Raw genomic sequence first — 23,989 nt, forward strand, 5'->3', positions numbered from 1 at the left:
TTCATCATCCCTGAATCCTATGGCTCTATGTCTTTGAGGAGGGTCACCACTGAATCTTCAGTGGAGACGCAGCATATGCACGGATGCTACATACATGTAGTGAATTTGCAAAACTAAAGGAAGAATTTTTTAAATTTCTGGACAAAAGGCAGCCAGCAGTTGGGGAGGGGTTGGAGGCAAGCAGGGCTGTGCACATATATATGTGAATATGAAGACATGCACATGTGTACATGTGACTGTGAATGACTATATGTGTGTGAGCCTGTGTCTAGGCATGTGTATAACTATGTGTGTGCATGTGTGTGGTCTATGAGCACATATGTATCTATGTGCACATTTGATATGTGTGTGTGTGTGTGAGTGTGTGGTGTAGGCATCTTCGCATATGTGATTGTGTATATGCATGTGGTTCTGTGCCTGAAAATGTAAGTGTGGATGAGAGAGGTGCACACAAGCACATATATAAGTAAATCTTCATTCACGCATGCAGGCATCTGAGTGTGTACCAATGTATATGTATTTGTGATTATGTGCATGCAAGTGTCTACACCCTACTAAAGGTATATGTCTGAGTCTCTCTCTCTTCCTCCTTCCCACTTCCCCCACTCCTTTTCCTTCTCCTTTTGCCCAGGTGTGCTGGCCCGAGAATGACCACCTCAGGTGAGCCTCCTGGATCTCTGGCTTTGGGCATTCCCAGCAGGTGGGAGGCAGCTTAAGGCAGGCTCTTAGCAGGTGAAAATCCAGCTCCAGCCCCCGCTGAGCCCCAGCGAGAAAGGAATTGCCTGCAGGCTCTTCCCTAATCCTCCAACGGAACCTCCCTCACTTACCTCTCTCTGTGGTAACAAAGGATCTTTCTGCTCTGGTGGTCACATTCCTGACAGCTTAGTTCAGAATGGGGGAAGGGACAGCAGGATTTTGGGGGGCCGTTGGGCAATTTCTATTGGCCTGAGTTTCCTCCTCTGAGAAACTGACACAGAGTGGGAAGAAGACAAGCAGCAGAAGGGTCAGTAGGCAAAACTGTATTGCTGATGTGTTGTGTATTACCAACCTCCACGCTTCCCCATTTCAGACTTAGATGTGCTCAGCAAGTGTTTACTGAAAACCCGGTACTGGGGGCCAAAAACCCAGAGATGAACAAAAGGCATTTTTCTATTTTGGGGAGGTGGTGTTGAAAGTGGAGATGGGAAAGGAACCTAGGGACACAGATTGCCAGAGTCCTGGTCAAACATGTTCCAGGAGGCAGGTAGGGATTTAAAACCTTTCTGCAGGCGGGGCATGGTGGCTCATGCCTGTAATCCCAACACTTTGGGAGGCTGAGGCGGGTGGATCACCTGAGGCCAGGAGTTCGAGACCAACCTGGCCAACCTGGTGAAACCCCATCTCTACTAAAATTACAAAAATTAGCTGGGTGTGGTGGTGGGTGCCTGTAATCCCAGCTACTCAGGAGGCTGAGGCAGGAGAATCACTTGAACCCAGGAGGCAGAGGTTGCAGTAAGCCGAGATCATGCCATTGTACTCCAGCCTGGGCAACAGGGCAAGACTCTGTCTTTAAAACAAACAAACAAACAAACAAACAAACAAAACCCCACCTTTCTGCAGCTCATTTCACTGGCCTAATTAATGTCCATATTCTTTGCTGTGGCATTCAATGTCCTCTGTTATGGGGGGAGGGATAACTGGAGAAGGTTTCTTGTAGGTACCGGTATGTGAGAGAGAACTGGACCCTACAGAACAGGTAGAGTTTGGGGAAGTGAAGATGTGAGGGAGGGGCCTTTAGAAGAAAGCTCATGGCTTAAGAAGGGGTCAGCTGCTGGACCTTGAGTCTGGTTGGTCGTCAACCAAAGAAATTAGGGTGGTGACAAGGCTGTGCTAAATTCCATGTATTGATATTGGTGCATGGTGGAGAGTGTTCCAGTTGGTAAGGTGACTTCATTCCTGTTACTTTACCTTTTCTTCTCAACCCAGTGAGGCTGATGTTATTATGTCCATTTGACATTTGAAGAAATGGAAGAAAAGGAAATAGTAGTGACTCACTCCAAGTCTGTACAGGGCTCAGGCCAGTACTCCTTTTTCTATAGCACAGCTGCCTGCCCTGCCCCTCTGTGAGAAGAAAGTCCTTGAGATCCCAGGGCTGGGAGATCTCTTGGAGGATGGCAGATTCCTGTTACTTTTGTTTATACCTACTTACGTTTTGACTTTGTCATCAAACATCTGTTCCTTAATGTCATCACTAGGAACATGCTTCTGTTCCTATAAGTTCCCCCATTTATCCGGCCACCCATCCATCCACTCCTCTATTCATCTACATTTTTAGCACTCCTATACATCCACTCATCCATTTATTCATCCTCTTACTACCTACTCATCCATCCATTCATCCATCCACCCATCCATCCATCCATCTACTCCCCCCAACCCACACATCCTACTTTCTCATTCATCTGCCTACTCACTATTCACCCATTCATTTCCCCATCAGTCCATGTATCCATACACCCAGTTATCCATCTTTCACCTATCTATCCATCCATACGTTCATCTATCAATGCCCTCCTGTCTGTTCACTCACTTATCCATCCACATACCCACCAATCTATACTCCTTTCCATTCATCCATCCATCCATTCATCCATCCATCCATCCATCCATCCATCCATCCATCCATCCATCCAAATACTCACCCATTCATCCATCTACCCACTATCCATTCTCTTACTTACCCACTTATCCATTTATATACCCATTTATCCATCCACACATTGACCCATCTATGTATCCACTCATCTATCCAGCCATCCACCTGCAGATTTAGCCAACCCACAATCATCTACTCATCCATTTATTCATTATTCACCTATATTAACCTCTCCTTCATTTACCCACCACATCCATCTACGCATCCATTTACCTACCCATCTACCCACTCAGCCACACACCCACCCAATTCCCAATCAACCCTAGACTATCTACCTACCTATCTCTTTGACCAACCAATCAACCATCCATCCAAATACTCAACTGATCACCCTCCCATTAATCCATTCATCCAGTCACCTACCCACCCACCCATCATTCCTGGGCACAGACTCATCATTCCATGTGAGAGTCCAGGTTGGTCTACCCAAGCCAGTGCTGCCTGCTTACAGGGCTGCCATGACTCATCCCACATGCAGGAAGGGGAGGTGGAGAGGCAGTAACTTACATGCAATCTGCCCTAGGGTTTATTTTTATTTTTATTTTTATTTTTGAGACAGAGTCTTGCTCTGTCAGCCAGGCTGGAGTGCAATGGCACAATCTTGGCTCACTACAACCTCAGCCTCCTGGGCTCAAGCGATTCTCCTGCCTCAGCCTCCTGAGTAACTGGGATTACAGGCGCATGCCACCACACCCAGCTAATTTTTTGTATTTTTAGTAGAGATGGGGTTTCACTATGTTGCCCAGGCTGGTCTTGAACTCCTGACCTCAGGTGATCCACCCGCCTCGGCCTCCCAAAGTACTGGGATTACAGGCTTGAGCCTCTGCGCCCGGCGATTTCCCCTAAGGTTTAAAGGTCACCTGAGTGCTCTTTCTTCCAGGCCCAGCGGTAAGAATTCTGGTAACTGAAAGAAAAAGAGAAACAAGGAGACAGAAACCTGGGGAAGGAGTGGAGAAGAGAGAGGAAATGATAGAGACCAGTGAGTGAACTAAAGAAGGGGAAAGAGGCCAGGTGTCATGGCTCATGCCTGTATTCTTGGAGCACTGTGAGGCTGAGGTGGGAGGATCGTTTAAGCCCAGAAGGTCGAGGCTGTAGTGAGCTATGATCCCGCACTGCACTCCAACCTGGGCGACAGAGCAAGACACTGTTTCAAAAAAAAGTAGGGGTACGGGGAGAAAAAGAAATAAACATGGGCCGGGCGCGGTGGCTCACGCCTGTAATCCCGGCACTTTGGGAGGCCGAGGTCGGCGGATCACGAGGTCAGGAGATCGAGACCATCCTGGCTAACACGGTGAAACCTCGTCTCTACTAAAAATACAAAAAATTACCTGGCCATGGTGGCAGGCGCCTGTAGTCCCAGCTACTCGGGAGGCTGAGGCAGGAGAATGGCGTGAACCCTGGAGGTGGAGCTTGCAGTGAGCCGAGATCGCGCCACTGCACTCCAGCCTGGGCGACAGAGTGACACTCCGTCTAAGAAAGAAAGAAAGAAAGAAAGAAAGAAAGAAAGAAAGAAAGAAAGAAAGAAAGAAAAAAGAAAGAAAGAAAGAAAGAAGGGAGGGAGGGAGGGAGGGAGGGAGGGAGGAAGGAAGGAAGGAAGGAAGGAAAGAAAGAAAGAAAGAAAGAAAAAAAGAAAGAAAGAAAGAAAAACATGCGTGCAGAGAGAAATAGGAAGTGGAATACAGGAACAAGGGAGAGAGACAAATAGATGATCATATGTTATGTCGGCGGCGGTGGCGGGGGGTGGGTGGGGAGGAAGCAGAGGCTAGAGTGTCCCTAGCGTCACGCCCTGTCGCCCTCCCCTGAGCTCCCGGAAGCCCATGGGGCCGCGGCCAAGTTTCCCCGCCTCCCGAGGAGAGACAGAGAAGCCACGAGTCGCCGGGTGGGCGCGGCGCTCCTGGGCTCACCGGGGCGCATTGGCACTGGCGGCGGCTGCGCGGGCTCGGCCGGCCCCACCATCAATTAAGCGACCGCGGGGTCCGGCGAGCGGCAGCGTGTGTGGAAATTACCTTTTGATTTCTTAATTACATTGTCCTCACCTGCAGCTCAACCCGCCTAGGAGAGGCGCTCGCCGAGCTCGATTCTCCGGGTGCCATAAATTAGGACGCCAGTCGCCGGCGAACGCTGGGGGCTTCCAGTATACCTTCCAGCGCAGCCCGCAGGCTATTTTTATCTCCCTCAGCACCTCGGCACCTCGGAGGAGCTTCTGCTAATTCACTACCCCGACACCGTCTCATCTCCCCTGCAACCAAACCCAAGTCTATTCCCAGGCGTAGGGGAGTTGGGCTCTCACAGACCTGGGTTCCAAACCCAGCCTCTGCCAGGCCCTGACTGTGTGACCCTGGGCGAGGGCATCCACCTCTTAGAGCCTCAGTTTCCCCATCTGTAACATGAGAATAAAACATAGCTCCCATTTGTCTGGAGGGTAAGGCTTAAAGGAACTGCGCCTTGTGAAGGCTTAGTCCCACTGACTCTGATTCATTCGTTTCGTGAGTTCACCTTGAGTGCCTACTGTGGATCTAGTGCTATTCTAGGCTTTGCAGATAAAGAGATGAACAAAACAGTGTCTGACTTCTTGAAGTGAGCAATGGCTATGATTTATTATTATTATTTTATGATCAAAAGGTTCCAGGGTTTTTGAGACTCTTGGCGGATGCTGCAGATGGGTGCAGGGAGACATGAGGGTGCTGCTGGGGAGGGCAGGTGAGGATTTAGGGTGGAGGAATCGTCAGGTTGGAGTGGAGCTGACCCACAACACAGACATAAAGGCATCCCAGAGATCAAGGTATTTGACAGATGGGGGAGTGACTTCCCTATGCCCGGCTGAGGCACTGGTAGAGCTTGGGTCTGACCTTTCAGTGTCTTCTCTCCCCATAGCTTGGTGATGCACGAAGTGTGGTTCTAGACCAGCAGGTTCGGCCTCATGAGAATTTGTTAGAAATGCAAATTCTCAGGCCGTACCCCGAGACCTCTGAAATTAGAATCTCTAGGGGTGCATCCAAGGAATCTGTGTTTTGACAAGCTCTCAAGGGGGTTTTTTATGCCCAGTAAGGTTTGAAAAGCACAATATGGCCGGGCGCGGTGGCTCACACCTGTAATCCCAGCACTTTGGGAGGCTGAGGTGGGCGGATCACTTGAGGTCAGGAGTTGGAGACCAGCCTGGCCAACATGATGAAACCCTGTCTCTACTAAAAAAATGCAAAAATTAGGCGGGCATGGTGGTGCACGCCTGTAATCCCAGCTACTTGGGAGACTGAGGCAGGAGAATCGCTGGAGCCCGGAGGCAGAGATTGCAGTGAGCCAAGATCATGCCACTGCCCTCCAGCCTGGGGCAACAGAAAAGAAAAGAAAAGAAAAGAGAAAAGAAAAGAAAAGCATAGAATTGCCCTAACAAATGCAGGGTTTCCCTTGTTCACTGCCTTGATCTCAGAAAATGGATCATTGTGCCTCCTTTTATAAGAATTCAAGTTGCATCCAGACTGAGACATCCCACATGCTATAAACATGTACTTCAGGGGCTCCCAGACCCACTGACACCCAGGTTAGAGCCTGTGTCATAGCCCAGGCTCACGTTGGGATTACCTGGGGAGTCTGAGAAAGTTCAGATACCTAGGCCCCTCCTCAGACCAATTCAATCTGCATTGCTGGGAGAGGTCCTGAGTCTCAGTCTTCCAAAGCTGCAGGTGATTCTGGTGTTAAGGGAGGATTGATAGCAACTGCCACTGTAGAAGCTGACCAGAGTGGGAAGTCAGAAGTCTCCATTTCCAAGCCCAGTAGTCCTGCCACTGACTCACTATTTGGGGCCAAATATGGTATCCCCTTCGGCACCCACCTAGGTCATATTCTGTCAGTTTATCAGGTCAGAAGCAATTGGAGAAACATGCAGAAAAGGCAGGTTCTACATGGGGTCCCCCTCCTAGAATTTGAGCCCTATGTAGGTTTGAGGTAGGGCCTGAGAATATGCTTTTTATTTTATTTATTCTTTTATTGAGACAAGGTCTTGCTCTGCCGCCCAGGCTGGAGTGCAGTGGTGTAATCATGGCTCACTGTAGCCTCAACTTCCCAGTTTCGGTGTGATCCTTCTGCTTCAGCCTCCCGAGTAACTGGAACTACAGGTGTACCACCATACCTGGCTAATTTTTGTATTTTTTGAAGAGACAGATTTGCCCAAGTTGGTCTTGAACTCTTGGGCTCAAGTCATACTCCCTGCCTTGGCCTCCCAAATGCTGAAATTATAGGTGTGAGCTACCCTGCCTGGTGAGAATATGCATTTTAAAAGAGCTGCCAGGTAAACTTTGCTACAAACATCCACTCTGAGAGATTCCATGGGAGCAGCAGAGCAGGCAAGTTAAGGACCTGTTTGAACCCTAATTTCATTTTACATCACAATCCTGGCTGTCTCCTTTCCAACCCCTTCTCTCACCTAATTTAGAGTTATACTTTTTTCCTCTTTTGAGCATGTTTATTTAAACTCCTTTAAATTCATGTTTCTTGATATTTTTAAAATATTAATTGATAGCCAGGTGCAGTGGCTCATGCCTGAAACCCTAGCACTTTAGGAGGCTGAGTCAGGAGGATGGCTTGAGCTCAGAAGTTTGAGACCAGCCTGGGCAACATGGTGAAACCCTGTCTCTACTAAAAATACAAAAATTAGCTGGGTGTGGTGGCACCTGCCTGTAGTCCCAGCTACTTGGGGGGCTGAGGAAGGAGGATTACTTGAACCCAGGTGGTCGAGGTGGCAGTGAGTCAAGATGGTGCTACTGCACTCCAGCCTGGGTGACAAAGTGAGACCCTGTCTCAAATATATATATTAGTTGAAGGAGACACTTTTTTGGGGGTTATGGAGGAGAAGGTTCCCCCTCCCGCAGTATATGTTTATCAAATATTGATCAAAATTCTCAAAAATGCTTCTACTAAGCTCTTGCTTCCAGAAAAGGTGGCATAACAGAGACCAGATTTATTATCCTGCCTTAAACAACTGGAAAACCAGACCAAATATTTATTTATTTACTTTTACTTATTTAGTTTTAACTTTTATTTTAGGGTCAGGAGTATATGTACAGATTTGTCACATAGGTAAACTTGCGTCATGGGGGTTTGATGTACAGATTATGATGTTGTCACCCAGGTACTAAGCTTAGTAATCAATAGTTATTTTTTTCTGATCCTCTCCCTCCTCCCACTGTCCACCTTCAAGTAGGCAATGGTGTCTGTTGTTCCTCTTTCTGTGTCCATGTGTTCTCATCATCTAGCTCCCAGTTATAAGTGAGAACATGTGGCATTCGGTTTTCTGTTCCTGTGTTAGTTTGCTAAGGATAATGGCCTCCAGCTCCTTCCATGTTCCTGCAGAATACATGATCTTGTTCTTTTTTATGGCTGTGTAGTATTCCACTGTATATATGTACCACATCTCCTTTATCCAGTCTATCATCGATGGGCATTTAGGTTGATTCAATGTCTTTGCTGTAATGAATAGTGCATGAATGTGCATGTGCATGTGTCTTTATGGTAGAATGATTGATATTCCTTTGGATATATTCCCAGTAATGGGATTGCTGGGTTGAATGTTCTCTTTTCAGCTCTTTGAGGAATTGCCACACTGCTTTCCACAATGGTTGAACTAATTTACACTCTCACCAACAGTACATGAGCATTCTCCTTTCTCTGGCAACCTTGCCAGCTCTGTTATTTTTTGACATTTTGACAATAGCCATTCTGACTGGTGTGAGATGGTATCTCATTGTGGTTTTGATTTGCATTTCTCTAGTGATGAGTGATGTTGAGCGTTTTTTCATGTACTTATTGGCTCCATGTATGTTTACTTTTGAAAAGTGTCTGTGCATGTCCTTTGATTATTTATTTATTTATTTATTTAATTTATTTTTTAAGATGGAGTCTCGCTGTTGTTGCCCAGGCTGGAATGCAATGGTGCGATCTTGGCTCACTGCAACCTCTGCCTCTCAGGTTCAAGCGATTCTCCTGTCTCATCCTCCTGAGTAGCTGGGATTACAGGTGTGTGCCACCATGCCTGGCTAATTTTTTTTTTTTTGTATTCTTAGTAGAGTCAGTGTTTCACGATGTTGGCCAGGCTGGTCTCAAACTCCTGACCTCAGGTGATCCGCCCGCCTCGGCCTCCCAAAGTGCTGGGATTACAGGCGTGAGCCACCACCCCCAGCCCTTTGACCACTTTTTAGTGGTGTTGTTTGTTTTGTGCTTGTAAATTTCAGACAAAATATTTAAAAGCAACAGTTTTAGGCACTGAACAACAGGCAGTCTAGGTCTGTGTCACTGAAAGAAGGAAAACGAGGAGACCTCTGGGTTTCCAAGCCATAGCACAGGGAGGGGAAACCCAAAGCGCTTGAGAACTTCCTGAGTGAAGTCAAGATAGAGTTAGGAGTTCAAGGAGTCCAAGGGGGTAGAATTTATGGGATGGGGGAACTGGAGAGTAGAGACCTTCCTGGGGAGATAACTCCAGAAATCAGGAGAGAGGTGCTCTTATGTCCTTGGTTCTGGGTTCTGTGCATTTGCCAGAGGTAACTTCCTGAAGCCAAGGAGAGAACCACCAAAAGGAGTAGGTAGAACAATTCCTAGATCTCACATAGGGCTGGGATAGCTCATGTGACCATGGACAACCCTCATAAGAGACCAGCCATGGGGTAGGGTCCTCAGAAGAGTATAGCTGTAGGAGTGGGGATAAGTTATCCCTAGATGAAAGACTGCTGCTTTGACACTGCCCTAAGAAAACATAAAAACAAGATTTGAAAGCTACAATTGGTTCTAAGTAACTTAACTGTTTGCTAGAACAAAACTCAGCACTATTTAAAGGACTACAACAAAACTGAGTAACCAAAAGTAAAACTGTTTTTCTTATAAGGTTAAACGTACATTTATCAGATCCAGCAGTCCCACACTGAGGTAGTTATTCAAGAAAAATGAAAATGATATTCACACAAAGACTTATACTGAATTATTATTATTATTATTATTACTATTATTTTTGAGATGGAGTTTCACTCTTGTCACCCAGGCTGAAGTGCAATGGTGCGTTCTTGGCTTACTGCAACCTCTGCCTCTTGGGTTCAAGTGATTCTCCTGCCTCAGCCTCCTGAGTAGCTGGGATTACAGGTGCCTGCCACCACGCCCGGCTATTTTTGTATTTTTAGTAGAGATAGAGTTTCACCATGTTGACCAGTCTTGAACTGGTCTTGAACTGACCTCAGGTGATCCGCCCGCCTCCGCCTGCCAAAGTGCTGGGATTACAGGCATGAGCCACCGCTCCTGGCCTATGCTGAATTTTTTACAGTGGTTTTACTCAATATACCTCCAAACTGGGAAGAATTCAAATGTCCACCAAATAGTGAATGGATATCAAGCAGTGTTACTTCCACATACAAGGGAATGCTACTCGAGAGTAAAAATAAATTTACTACCGATGTACACCACACCATAGATGAATTTCAAAACCACAATGCTGAGCGAAATTAGTCAGGAATGAAAGGTTACATAGTGTATGATCCCACTGATATAAAATTCTAAAAAAGGCAAAACTATAGTGATGGAAAGCAAAACTTGGTTGCCGGGGGCTGGAAGGGGGTTGGGTGTGGGGTGGGAGAGGGAATGATGCCAAAGAAGCAGTTTTCAAGTGATGGAAATCTTCTATTTCATGATTGTAGTGGTTGTGTATAATTTGACAAAACTCATTGACTTGCACACTTAGAATTGGTTAATTCTATTCTACGCAAATTATACCTCAATAAAGCAGATTAATAAAAATGTTCATGCCCTCTGGCTGCAGAATTTTACTTCTCAGAAGGTATCCCAAGGAAATATTCAGAATGTGGACAAGGATTTATGAACAAGGATGGCCTTCAAAGAATTGTTTCTTATGGTGAAAAATCATATACAAGCAAAATATCCAATTGTAGAGGTGGGATGAAATAATGATGATATGTGCATAGGATGGATTGCTGGGCAAATTATTAAAATAATTTAATGACCTGGGAAAAATACGCATGATGAAATGCCTGCTGAAAGACAAAATGTGAGCTAGGAGTGCAGATACCTGTGTTGAATCCTGGCTGTGCCACACATGGCTGTGTGATGTTGGGAAAATGCTTAGCCTCTCTAATCCTTGATTTTCTCATCCTTACAATGGAGATGCAAGTAACACCTATTATACAGGTTGCAGTCAGGATTAAATACAATAACACTAGTAAAATTCTTAGCATTTGGCATGTGACGAACATGGTAAATGCTAGTGAAGATTATTTGCTATGACCAAAGTCCATAAATGGCAGGACAGTTGTCTAAAATTCTCTGTAAAGGATAAGACAGAAATATACAAGCTTGTTTAGCGTGGTCGTCTTTAGGCTATGGAAAGGTAGTTTATCTTATTTTTTCTCCTTATACTTGTCTTTATTTTTCAACTGTTCTATAATAAGGATGTGTTACTTGTAGAATCAGGATCAAACCAATAAGCGTTGTAAAGAAGAGTTTCCTTTGCATTTCTGAAATTCTAAAAATGTATATAGAAGCATCATTCTAGACATAGAGTATTGATTAGGGGGTATAAGGTGGAGATGAGAGGAATACAAGGATGGGGAAAATATGATTCTTGCTTTCAAAGTGTTAGGTGGGCATGGTGGCTCACACCTGTAATCCTGGCACTTTGGGAGGACCAAGTGGGCAGATCACTCGAGGTCAGAAATTGGAGACCAGCTTGGCCAACATGGTGAAATCCTGTCTCTACTAAAAATTAGCCCAGCATGGTGGCGTGCACCTGTAATCCCAGCTAGTAGCCTCCCTAGTAGGGAGGCTGAGGCAGGAGAATCACTTGAACCCAGGAGGTGGAGGTTGCAGTGAGCTGAGATCGTGCCACTGCATTCCAGCCTGGCTGACAGCGAGACTCTGCCTCAAAACAAACAAACAAACAAACAAGAAAAACAAACAAACAAAATAAAAACAACAACAACAAAACAAACCCAAAGTGTTTGCAACATACTTGGGTATATACAGTTGTAAAACATAGAAACAAATAATCCTAACACAAAATGGAAAGGACAAGCAGCAAGATCTGCAGAGGTACAAGTAGTACGACAGAAGTGCTGTGGCAATGCCCTAGAAGGAAATGTTGGCGTTGCCTGGGAGCAATGGGGTGGCTTCCCAGAGAATGAGTGATCAAGCCCAGCTGGGAGATGAACAGCACTCCTTGTGGAGGGCACTGCATGAGCAAAGCTCTGGAGTTGAGATTGTGCAGACCATCTTCAGAGGATGATGAGTTGACTGTTGGGGCTTGATTGCGGGGTGTGTATGACAGAGGGGAAGGGGAAGATAGAGGCAGCCAAGCTCATGAAAGATCTTGGTTCTAGTTTTGGGGCAGTGACCACGTGTCAGCACTGTTCTGAGCACTTCACAAGTGTTTACACTTTTAAACTTACGAAACCCTGAGTCAGGCAGTATTTCAAGCTCCGTTTTACAGAGAGCAAACCGAAGCATAGACACAGGAACAGATTCGGTCACGCTCCCTACAGCTAGTAGGTGGCAAAATCGGGACTCAAATCCAGGCAGTGTGGCTCCCGGTCCCTGACTCCTTGACACAGCCCTGCACTGTGTAGATCAGGCTTGGATATTTTCCCTTTGCAATAGGAGGCCATGGATGGTTTCATACAGGAACTAAAAAGTGACTTTGGCGAAGACGTAATCCTGTTCTCTACATCAGAGTAATTGCTTTTTCTTTCTTTCCTACACAAAAAGATGTTTGGTAAGAAACCAAAGGTGATCTGCTGTACAGGGGATAGGAGATGTGGATTTAACCCTTCAACTCTGACCCTCTAGGAGAAGCAAGACGTTTCTATTCCGTGCTGTGGATTTCTTGTCTTAATAAAGTTGGAGCTGGAAGGGGGAGGAGAAGAAAAGGGAGTGTTTCTAAGTGGGGATAAAAAAATCCCCACAAAACCCTGAAATTTCATCTCAGCCTCAAGTGGAGATTAACCATGCCAAAAATCTATGTTATTGATAACAATAATAATGACGATTATTATATTTTATTTTTCAATCCTGGTAATTATTGTACATTAAATCATTAGCATTCATTATTCCTACAATGTGTAATTAGGACAATGGTGGATAGATTGCTCTTGACTGTAATGAAGTTTTTATAATTGTAATTTATTGGCATCAAATTGCCTTTCTTAAAATGAATCTGAACATCACATTCTTAATTCTGGGGAGGGGGTGGCAATTATTTTTAATTAATGTTTCTTGTTTGTGCCACACAGGGCGAGCTGTCTGACCAAGCCAATTCTCTGGGTCTGCAAGGAAGTTAACCAAGAAGAGCAAAGGCATTCTTGAATCAGTATCTATCACGAAACATTTTCCTTTTTCCTGTCCCCCACCCTGGTTCCATCTCCCCTCCTTCAAGGCAGTGGCCACAGGAAAAAAAACACCCAACCATTTACCAATATGATTAGCCGTGGAGATGGGAGATGATGATGCAGATTGTTTAAGCCAATTTGTTGCTAGGTTTGAGGAGAATATTTTTTTCTTCCTTCAGAAATGGCTCAATTGGGCTGGGTGCAGTGGCTCACACCTGTAATCCTAGCACTTTGGAAGGCTGAGGTGGGTGGATTGCTTGAGCCCCGCAGTTCAAGACCAGCCTAGGCAACATGGCAAAACCCCGTCTCTACAAAAAATACAAAAATTAGCTGGGTGTGGTGGTGAGCACCTGTAGTGCCAGCTACTAGGGAGGCTGAGGTGGGAGGATGGCTTGAGCCTGGGAGGTAGAGGTTGCAGTGAGCCAAGATCACATCATTGCATTCTAGCCTTGGTGACAGAGCCAGACCCTGTCTAAAAAAAGAAAGAAAGAAATGGCTCAATTGCCAGCCTGTGCCTCGGGGACTATGTGTATGTGTCAGGTGGGGGTGGTTAGGCAGTGGCTCTTGGTTTTGTTGTCTGTAAATTTTATTGTGATGATTCATATAAGATGGCAAGCTCTTCTCTCTCACCATCCCCACCCAACAATTGGCTAAGGTGGCCTCTCCAAAGATATGAATCTACTTCTTGTTTCTAGAAAGGCCAAGTGAGAAGTCTTGGGGCACGTGTTTCTACTGTTGTAATATGAAGTTGCCTGTATTTGACTGGGTTTGACCTACAAAAAGGGCAATTTATTTGTTCAAACAAATCTATCCACCAGGATGGTAATCAATGAAATAACTCCTTTCCAAAGATGTTGATTAGGAGGGACAGAAAGGCCATTCGTTTTTAGGCAATTGAGTGAGCAAGAAGAGTGTTTGTAAAGGAGTATAAGGAGAGAGGAGGGGGCAGACTGAGGGCTACACAGAGAAGAAGTGGCCTGGAGAGAGGGACTGACTTACTTATCAACCATCCTACACCAAGCATAGGCCAGGCCCTTTCTGTGCGCATGTTCAAGGTGATAAGTGGCACTACCCTGGATCTCTCTGACTTCCAGACACCTGCACTTTCTACTGTTCCAGAAATGGACAGCTATCAGTCATTCACATCTTAGACTAGACACAAGACCAGCCTGATCTTTTGCCTCCTAAACTTGATCTTGGTTTCCTGGTAAAGGAACATTAGGCTTTATTGAGCTGAAAGGGAAGTAGTTCTAGATCCTGAAGACTAAGTTTCTACTGCCCCTATAGCCAGACCAAAGGGGCAGATGTCTACTTCATCTGTGATGGTGACATTCTACACCCTGGTTTGAACAGGGAGACTTTTGCCTTGTCCAGGAGGGATCTGGTGTCATGTCTGTGCTGAGATTCCAGGAGAACACACAGCCTTTGATACTCTGTATGTGTAAGGGGCTTGTGACATTTACAGTTGTCTAGTGAATATTGTTAAGGAGGACTGAATTCAGGGTAGGCACTTCTGTGGTTGGTGGTGGCTGGGGCAGGGCTTGGATCTGTGGTCAGGACTCAAGGGATCCTGAGAAGTTACTACAACCAGCACCTTGGGTCCAAATTAGTTGACAGCACCCATGGATAAAGACATGGTCTTCTAAGAGATGGTGAGGGCCCCCTGGCTCCATGGAGATGTGATATTGAGGGTCTGGGATGGGCGCAATTTTCAGCACCAAGGACAGAGGCCAAGCCAAGCCAGGACCGGGGACCTTCTAAGGTGAGCTATACATAATCCTATAGTTTTTAGAGATCTCCTGGTGTCATTTTGTGCAAGCTTCTTCAGTTGGCTTTCCTCTTTCTTGCCTCTCAGGGCAAGAATCTGGATTCTTGGATTCTGATATCTTATTCTAGCTCTGTCACTTATGAGCTGGGAAAGTTTATAGAATGGGTTAATAATTGGTTGGCTTGAAGATTAATGAAATCCTGCCTATAAAAAAGCAAAGCAAGGTACCTGGTAAAGTAAGTGCTCAATAAGGGGCATTTGTGGCTATTATTCTGGAGGTGGAGTTGGTAGCTATGATTAATAATAATGATGATAGCAACCTCCACTTATCGAGTCCTTACTATATCCTAGGCTCTGTCTTAAATGCTGTAAATGCAATATCTCACTCATTATCTATAACAACCCTGTTACAGATGAGAAATTGAGGCACAGAAAGGCTAAAGAACTTGGCCAAGGTCATGCAACTGGTAAGTGGTAGAAATGGGATTTGAATGAACCCATGTGAGTAGAGAGTATAACGCTTATACTATTATGTCAATGGCCTCAATAGTTCAGCTATGAACATTCAACAGCTGGAAAAATAATAGTAATTACTATTATTATCATCATCACTACCACCAGTTCCAACATCATTTATCTATTACTATTAATTATTAATTGATTCTGTACCTTCTCCCACCTCTTTCAAGAAGTTTGATCAAGGGACATGATGGGCTAAGGAGGAAGGTGCCGTGACAGAAGGAAAAGATTTCCTAGGAAAAGCATGAGGCATGGTGCTGGGCACCTTGGAGGATGTAAATACAGGTCCCAAATTTGGGGGACTTCAAAGCCTAGTAGAAGATTTTTTCCCCTTTTCATGTGAGTGGTTTTCTAGTGAAAACTGAAAACCTGTTATATAAATTCTTTTAAAAAGCTGTAACACTTAGTAGGGAAGGTAGACAGTTAAACAAATAACCACAGCACTAAGGTATAAACTACCACAGGTAAGATACGAAATGCTATGGGGAATCAGGAAGACAGCTATTTTCAGTTAGGGGTTAACTTTATGGAGGTCTTCCTGAGGGAGGAAGACTCTGAACTAAGCATGCAAATACAGGCAAGACTGGGACATCATGCCAATGAAGAGATGTTGGAAACAAAGCAGCCTGGACTGAGGCTCTTTCCTTCCTCCTCTTCCTCATTTTCTCCATCCTCCCCTCCATCTTGTCTTTCTTCCTTCTCTTTCTCCTTTCTGTTCTTATTCTTCTCTTCTTCCTCCTCCATTTCTTTCCCTTCTCTTCTTTCTTCCCTTTGTCCTTCCTTCTCCTTTCTCTTTCTCTTCTTCTTATTATTCCTCCTTTTCTTCCTTCTCTTCCTCTTCCTTCCACCTTCTCCTAATTATTTTATAATAATCAATTGACTCACCATATTAGAGAATCAGCCAAAGTCTGAGGACCTGAATGCTGGTAAGCCTTCCTTCCAGCTGTTTGCTTCACACTTCAGCCTTGGAGTGGAAATGCAACTCTAAGTGGAAATTGGGGTAAATTCTATTGCGGGTGAGGCAGCGTTTTTGTCAAGGAGGACAAAGCTTAATACCTACACTCAGGAAAGGCAATTAGAAGAATAAATCTGGTCAACCAGACCTTGTCACAGACCCAGCCCTGTCCTATTCTCTCTGTGTAACCTTCAGCAAAGAGCTATGCATCTGTTTCCACCTCTGTAAGATGAGGGTAAACTGGGATTCTCTCTTCACGGGGTTGTCACGAGGGTTAAATGAAATAATCGATGTGAATGTATTTAGCCTCATACCCAGCACATAGTAGATGCTAAAAAAAAGTTCACTTCCCATCTCCTTTAATTAATGAATCTCTACATTTAAAATGGGGTCTGTGGCTTTGGAGCGGGAGCGAGTCATGATGGGGTTGCGCCGGCAGAAGAGATGGAAGGCAGGAGAGAAGATCGCATTTCTGATGGGGTGAAGGTGGGCAGTGTAAATCTAATTTCTTGGCAAAAGCTGCAGTTTGCCAGCCCTTTTAATGATTATTTTTATTATGGATACAAATTAAAAATAAACTGTGTGTCTCAATCACAGCAGGAATTAAAATTGTTCCCTAATTGTTATCTTTGAATCAATCTAGCTTCCATTAGCTTTGCTTCTCAAGGTATAATTGAGGTGTGTGTGTGTGTGCGTGTGTGTGTGGGCCTGTGTGTGTGTGAGCATGCATATGTGTCTCCTTGGTTTGTGGGGAAGGCACCTTCCTCCATTTGATGCACTCCGTTGTCTTCCAAATTCCAGTTTCCTTTTTCCTTCCCCTTTGCTAAAGGCCTTGAGTGGCAGCAGAGTTGGTGAGGCTTGAACAATAGATCCCTGTCCCTATCCCACTATCCCTAAAATTTTTGTTTCAAAAATCAACATACTTTCTATGATACTGAGGGGCATTTTTTGATTGGGTTGAAGGTGGGAGAAGAGTGATCTAAAATCAATACGTTGGAGATTGCTAAGCTCAGTTTCTTCCTGAATATAGGGCTCTAGACTGTGAATTCTCTAGACGAGAAACAGGGCTTCTTGTTCATCTTGTTCTTGGCTATATTCCTGGCACCTAGAACAGTGTCTGGTACATGGTCAGTTCTCATTAAATATTGACTGATTCAACTCAATCAAGCATGTTGTACTAGAAGAAAATATGCGAAATGCATAGTACACAAATAACACGATCCCTGGTATATAGATAGTGGTAGTGATCAATAACACACAGCTCCTGTTCTTTTTATCACAGATACCCAAGCTCAGATGGACCTGAGACAATTTTTCCTCTTAAATTTTATTTTAATATTTGCAGTCTTACTAGTTGCCACTTATCAAGCTCTTGCTATATATACTTGATGCTTTACATGTGGTATTGTGAATTCTCAGGCACTCTTACTGTACCCATTTTACAGATAAGGAAACTGAGGCTCAGAGAGATGAAATCACTTGTGCAAGCTCACACAGCTGGTAAGTGATGAGGCTGGGATTCAAACTCAGATCTGCCAGGCTCCTAAACACCTATGATCTCTCTTGCCACCATCCTTCCCTACCTTATGATCAACAACTATTTATATTTTATTTTATTATTTTATATTTTTGGACACAGCATCTCTGCTGCCCAGGCTGTAGTGCAGTGGCACCATCATAGTTCACCACAGCCTCAAATTCCCGGGCTCAAGTGATTCTCCTGCCTCAGCCTCCCAAGTAAATGGGACTACAGGCACCTGCCACCACACCCAGCTAATTTTTGTATTTTCAGTAGAGATGGGGTTTTGCCATGTTGGCCAGGCTAGTCTCAAACTCTCAATCCCAAGTGGTCCACCTGCCTTGGCCTCCCAAAGGGCTGGGACTACAGGCATGTGTCACCATGCCTGGCTAATTTTTGTTTATCTTTTTGCAGAGATGGGGCGGGGGGTGGGGTGTCTCGCTATATTGCTCAGGTTGGTCTCGAACTCCCAGCCCAAGCAATCACCCCACCTTGGACTCCCAAGGTACTGAGATTACAGGTGTGAGCCACTATGTCCAGCCTCCCACTTATTGATTTCTTCCAAGTAAGCAAGCTAAGTATTGTTGGCCTTATTCTTCATATGAAGAAAATGAGGCCCCAAGAAAATTCTTAAGACTTGTTTGGGGGTGGGAGGTATCACATGCATGAAGACCTCGTGCTAGTGGCCAGTGTACCACGTATGCATCCTAACCAGGGCATCACCCATTCCCTCCTGTGCTGGGCATCCAATACAATGGAAATTTAAAAATGAGAACCTTGGGCCAGGCAAAGTGGCTCATGCCTGTAATCCCAGCCCTTTGGGAGGCCAAGGCAGGTGGACCGCTTGGGGTTGAGAGTTTGAGACCAGCCTGGCCAACATGGCAAAACCCCATCTCTACTGAAAATACAAAAATTAGCCGGGTGTGGTGGCAGGTGCCTGTAGTCCCATTTACTTGGTAGGCTGAGGCAGGAGAATTGCTTGAACCCGGGAAGTGGAGGCTGCAGTGAACCGAGATCGTGCCACTGCACTCCAGCCGGGGCGACAGAGAGAGACTCTGTCTCAAAAATAAAATGAAATATAAATAAAAATGAGAACTTCAAAAAAAGGACTTTAAATCTAATAAATGAAGTTCATATAGAGAGACCAGAGTGGCTGCATTGTGCTTTCAGCAAGAAACTGAGGTTGTATCACTAAGAAAGGGGTGCTTTTCCAAGTGCTACACCTGGAAAGAATGAAGCATTTGTTCGTTCATGCTTGCATTAATATTCTTTGAGCACCTGTGATGTGTCAGGTCTGCACGAGGATCTAGGAATACAGCAGGAAACAAAAGAGCCAGCCCCTGCCCTAGGAGTTTATGAGCAAGGGGGAGAGACAGATTCAAAAAATATTCCCATAAGCATATAATTACAAGCTGTGATAAAACGTAGAAGGAAAAAGTACAGGGAATAACTAGAGATTATATAATAACAAGGGGACCCAATATCCCAGTGAGGGTGGGGCCGTGTGTGTTCAAGAAGGCTGAGGCATGTTTGAGCATCGATGTGGAGGAAGAGTTAACTAGGTGGCTCTTCTTCTAGGCAGAAGGCATTGGTTGCAAATGAGTCCAGGAAAAGGGACGAAGGCATCTTCCAGGAACAGAAGAGCAGCTGTGAATGGGGCTTAAAGGATGGGGGACAAGTGTGAGACTAACCCCGGAAAGGTAGACAGGGGCCAGATCCACAGGGCTTTGAGGCCAAGGTGTGATGGCAACAGGGATCTACTGAAAATCTTGAGGCCAAGAGATACTTTAATTGGATTTGTGTTTAAAAGACTGAGGTGAGAAGATCACTTGAGGCCAAGCATGGTGGCTCACGCCTGTAATCCCAGCACTTTGGGAGGCCGAGGTGGGCTGATCAGTTGAGGTCAGGAATTCGAGACCAGGCTGGCCAACATGGTGAAACCTCATCTCTACTAAAAATACAAAAATTAGCTGGGTGTGGTAGCGCATGCCTGTAATCCCAGCTCCTTGGGAGGCTGAGGCAGGAGAATTGCTTGAACCCGGGAGGCAGGGGTTACAGTGAGCCAAGATCGCGCCACTGCACTCCAGCCTGGGTGACAGAGCGAGACTCCATGTCAAAAAAAAAAAAAAAAAAAAAGATAACTTGAGGCCAGGAGTTCAAGACCAACCTGGGCAACATAAAAAGACCCTATCTCTATTTAAAAAAAGAAAAAAGAAAAAGATGAGCTGGCCATGGTAATGCACACCTGTAGTGCTAACTACTCAGGGGACTGAGGTGGGAGGATCACTTGAGCCCAGGAGTTCGAGGCTGCAGTGAGCCATGTTTGTGCCCCTGCACGCCAGCCAGAGTGACAGAGTGAGAGTCAGTCTCAAAAGAAAAGAAGCTCATTAAAAGGACACTCAGAGCAGCTCTTCTTGTGTTTTGGTATCTTGAGAATCTGTTTTGAAATGAGAAAGAAGGATCCATTCTAGCAGGGGTGCTAAAATAGACTGATGGTGTGTGAGGAGGAGGTTTGCCTAGAATACTTTATGGAACACCAGTGGATTGAGGACAGCATTCATGGCCATCATTTTAATTTGGAAAGTTTTCTATGTGCCATCATAGTTTTGGGAGTCATCTGTGGTGGTCATTAGGGCTGTTTCCGAATGCTTTGTTCTCTGCCTTCCAGGCATGTGGCAGGAATGAGCTTCTGTGACCACTTGAAGGAGGCCAGTCAAAAAGATCACACTGTGATATCTAGGCTGAGTCTTTATGAATACTTACCTTTGCAGTCATGGAAAGTTGGGCCCAGATGATGCCTCCAAACACCTGGGTCCTCAAGTGACCCCCTACAGTCAAAGCCTCCTTGAGAACCCACAGTAAAACAAGACTGAGGCCGGGCGCGGTGGCTCACGCCTGTAATCCCAGCACTTTGGGAGGCCGAGACGGGCGGATCACGAGGTCAGGAGATCGAGACCATCCTGGCTAACACGGTGAAACCCCGTCTCTACTAAAAATACAAAAATTAGCCGGGCATGGTGGCGCACGCCTGTAGTCCCAGCTACACGGGAGGCTGAGGCAGGAGAATGGCGTGAACCCGGGAGGCGGAGCTTGCAGTGAGTCGAGATCGCGCCACTGCACTCCAGCCTGGGCGACAGAGCGAAACTCTGTCTCAAAAAACAAAACAAAAAAAAAAAAAAAACAAGACTGAGTGAGAAACAAACTGCTGGGGCTGTTTGTTACTGTAGCATAACCTCGCCTTCCCTGACACATACAAAAGCTCTCCCACACGCTGCTCTGCCCACTGCCCACATCCCTCCTCAACCCCTCTCTCAGGAGGCTGCAGCCCCACCCGTAAGCCACATTCCTTCCAACCCCAAGGCTTTCATACTTGCAGTTGCCTCCAACCTATACAACCTTCTTTCTCTCGTCTCTTGGCAAATCCCTGCACCTCCTTCAGGTCTCAGTTTCAGTGTCTCATCTCACTGTTGGAGGTTTCAGAGGACATGAGATTTTCAGAGCACTGACCCCAGTATGTGATCACGTCTTTATTTGTTTTTTTTTGAGACGGGGATTGCTCTGTCACCCAGGCTGGAGTGCAGTGGTATGATCACAGTTCACTTGCAGCCTCAACCTCCTGGGCTCAACGCCTCCTCCCTCCTCAGCCTCCCAAGTAGCTGGGACTACAGGTGCATGCCACCATGCCCAGTTAATTTTTAAATGTTTTGTAGAGATGGGGGGGTCTCACTATGTTGCCTAGGCTGGTCTCGAACTCTTGGCCTCAAGTGATCCTCCAGTCTCAGCCTCCCAAACTGCTAGGAATACAGGTGTGAGCCACTGTGCCCAGCATCTAATGCTTTTTGAATGAATAAATAGATGAATGAAAGAAACCCATGTGATCTTGAATTGCCCCTCCCAGTATGGAGGAAAGAAGGCCCCGGACTTCCATTCCCCTTATCTTTGGCCAATTCCCCTTTCTGACCTAGGGTCACATTATGACATTCATGGGTTCTTTTTTCCATAAAAAAATTAAAAATTATATTTTATGACTGTGTAGGTATAAACATGAACATAATCCAGTCTAGATTCATTAATATATATACACATTATTATTATATTCATGTTTTCTTTTGATTTAAAAGAAATTGACATTAAAACATTCAATTAACATTAAAACATTTATACGGACCCCTTGAAGTATTGTGAGCCCTAAGCACTGTGCTTCCTGTGCCTAATGGATAAGTTGGTCCCTTCTGACCCAATTCCCTGTTCATTCATTCCTTCCTTCCTTCCTTCCTTCCTTCATTCATTCATTGAGCAAGAATTCATAGAGCAGCGTCTCAATGCAGAGACCAGCACCAGTCTTTAGCATGGGGGTGCTGGGATCCCAGACCCTGGGATCCCATCGTAGGCAGAAGTAGCCACTGTCTCCTTTTTTTCTGTCTCTGATATTCTAGTGGGGGAGATAAGCACTGAACAAGTGCAACAAGAAATAAATGTGTAAGTGATTCATACGTAATGTGTTTACACATTTATTTATAAATGTATTTATACCTTATGAATTATAAATGATAATGTTTCACACATTTATTGTAAATTACCAAGTTCCAGTGTCTTTGGAAGGCCAAGAACAAGGAAGTGTGAGGTGGTCTGTGGGAGAAGGAGGGTTGCTTGAGGAAGACTTCCCCAGTCAGAGCTGCAAGTTAACTGTGCCGGGAGGGTGGGGAAGCGCATCCCAGGCAGAGGCCTGGCATGAGCAAGGGTCCTGAGGCAGGACACAGTAGAGCATCTTTGAACAACTTCTCCACCAGCTTCTTCAGCATCATCAGAAAGCCACAACCATCCCTTAGGACTTCCGGATCCTCACTTTCTCTCCAGGCCTATCCCAAACAGGTTGCAGCCTGGTCCACAAGCTCTGAGCATCAGGAGAGCCCAGGAGGGCTGGTTTGATTAGATCACTGTCAGCCAGGGACGGAGGTTAATTGCTATTCTCTTTCTGAGTCTGGCTTGGCCCAGCAGCTTTGCCCACTGCCGTGTGTGTGTGCCTGTGTGTGTGTGTCCGTGTGTCTGTGTGTCTGTAGGTCAGTTTGGCCTCGGGCTGGGCGGAGGCCGAGGGGGCTGGGGGGAGGGTTGCCCAAGATTTTTCTGTGAGTTCTGAGCCTTGTCTTGTCTGGTGTGTAGCAAAGAGGAGTGCTTAACAAGCATTAAGGGACACAAATAATTCCCCTTTTCTCCTCTCCGCCTATTCTTCCCTCTCTCTTTTCTTGTAAATCCTGCTTCTTGCATGTGAATAGCGGAATGGCTTCATCTGGGACCTTTAATCAGATCCCTGGTAGGCTCTAGGAGGGCAAAGTGCCGGAGGGATTACCTTTTATTTTAGGTTTTTCTCCCCTAGTTTTGCCATTCCCCTCTTCCCCTCCCCTGGCTGTGTTTTCCTCCCTGGCGTTTGTTCTCAGCAGAAGTAAGTAAGGAAGGCTTAAAGCGCGGGGGAGGGGGGCTTACAAACTTAAGGGGATCGGGCCCTATTCAGCCGGGCTTGTCCACAGACTTTCTGCTTTTGTTCTCGGGCCATTCTTCAGCTGATTTCTTCACTCCAGCAAAAGCACTTTAATTCCCTTTTAGATACGGAGAATCCGTCCTCTTCCCCTCGCTGCCCCCTCCCTCTCTCCACCCCACACACCCCATTTCACTTTTTCAGACCCTTTATGCTTCGTCCTCGTCCTCCCCAACAAAGACTCAACATCCTCGCAAAGTATTTCTTTCACCGATGGGGGAAGCTCTGAAGAATCAGGGGGAGGGGAAGGGGAAGAGGGAGGAGAAGAGGGGGCTTCTCCGGGACCAGACCCCAAAGCCAGGCCAGGGGAGACCCGTGGCTTCAGACTGCACCCCCTTGGTCTGAGCTTTGCCTTGCTTGGAGAAGAAAGGCACTGATGCCAGCACGAGCGTGTGGAAGGAGAAAATGTCTGAAGGTGTGTCTATGTGGTTGTGACAGGAGGGATAGAGACATCGGAGACCTGGTGTGGGCTTTGTCAGCATTCCTGAAAGGGGCAGGGGGGTCCCAGAGAAAAGTCCGTGCAAGGAGAGGATACAGGGGCCTCCAGTCTCCGTCAAAATCCCCGACACCTCCTGGGTGCATTCCAGCGAAGCATCCCCGGGGTACCAGAGGCGCTGGGTCCGGGGCCCT

The 23,989-nt window shown here is 45.9% G+C and overlaps 2 annotated features.

The window, feature by feature from the left end:
• Nucleotides 495-1,272: an enhancer, noted in NCBI's record as "OCT4-NANOG-H3K27ac hESC enhancer chr12:114025396-114026173 (GRCh37/hg19 assembly coordinates)". NCBI's record gives its function as "activates a minimal SCP1, AML or CMV promoter by ChIP-STARR-seq in naive H9 embryonic stem cells {active_cell/tissue: H9 hESC(naive)}" and the evidence as "EXISTENCE:reporter gene assay evidence [ECO:0000049][PMID:30033119]".
• Nucleotides 14,675-14,875: a silencer, noted in NCBI's record as "peak1973 fragment used in MPRA reporter construct". NCBI's record gives its function as "represses an SCP1 promoter by STARR-seq MPRAs in K562 erythroleukemia cells {active_cell/tissue: K562}" and the evidence as "EXISTENCE:reporter gene assay evidence [ECO:0000049][PMID:32103011]".

Source organism: Homo sapiens, chromosome 12, assembly GCF_000001405.40.
Source record: "Homo sapiens chromosome 12, GRCh38.p14 Primary Assembly".
In the NCBI taxonomy this organism is placed as follows: Eukaryota; Metazoa; Chordata; class Mammalia; order Primates; family Hominidae; genus Homo; species Homo sapiens.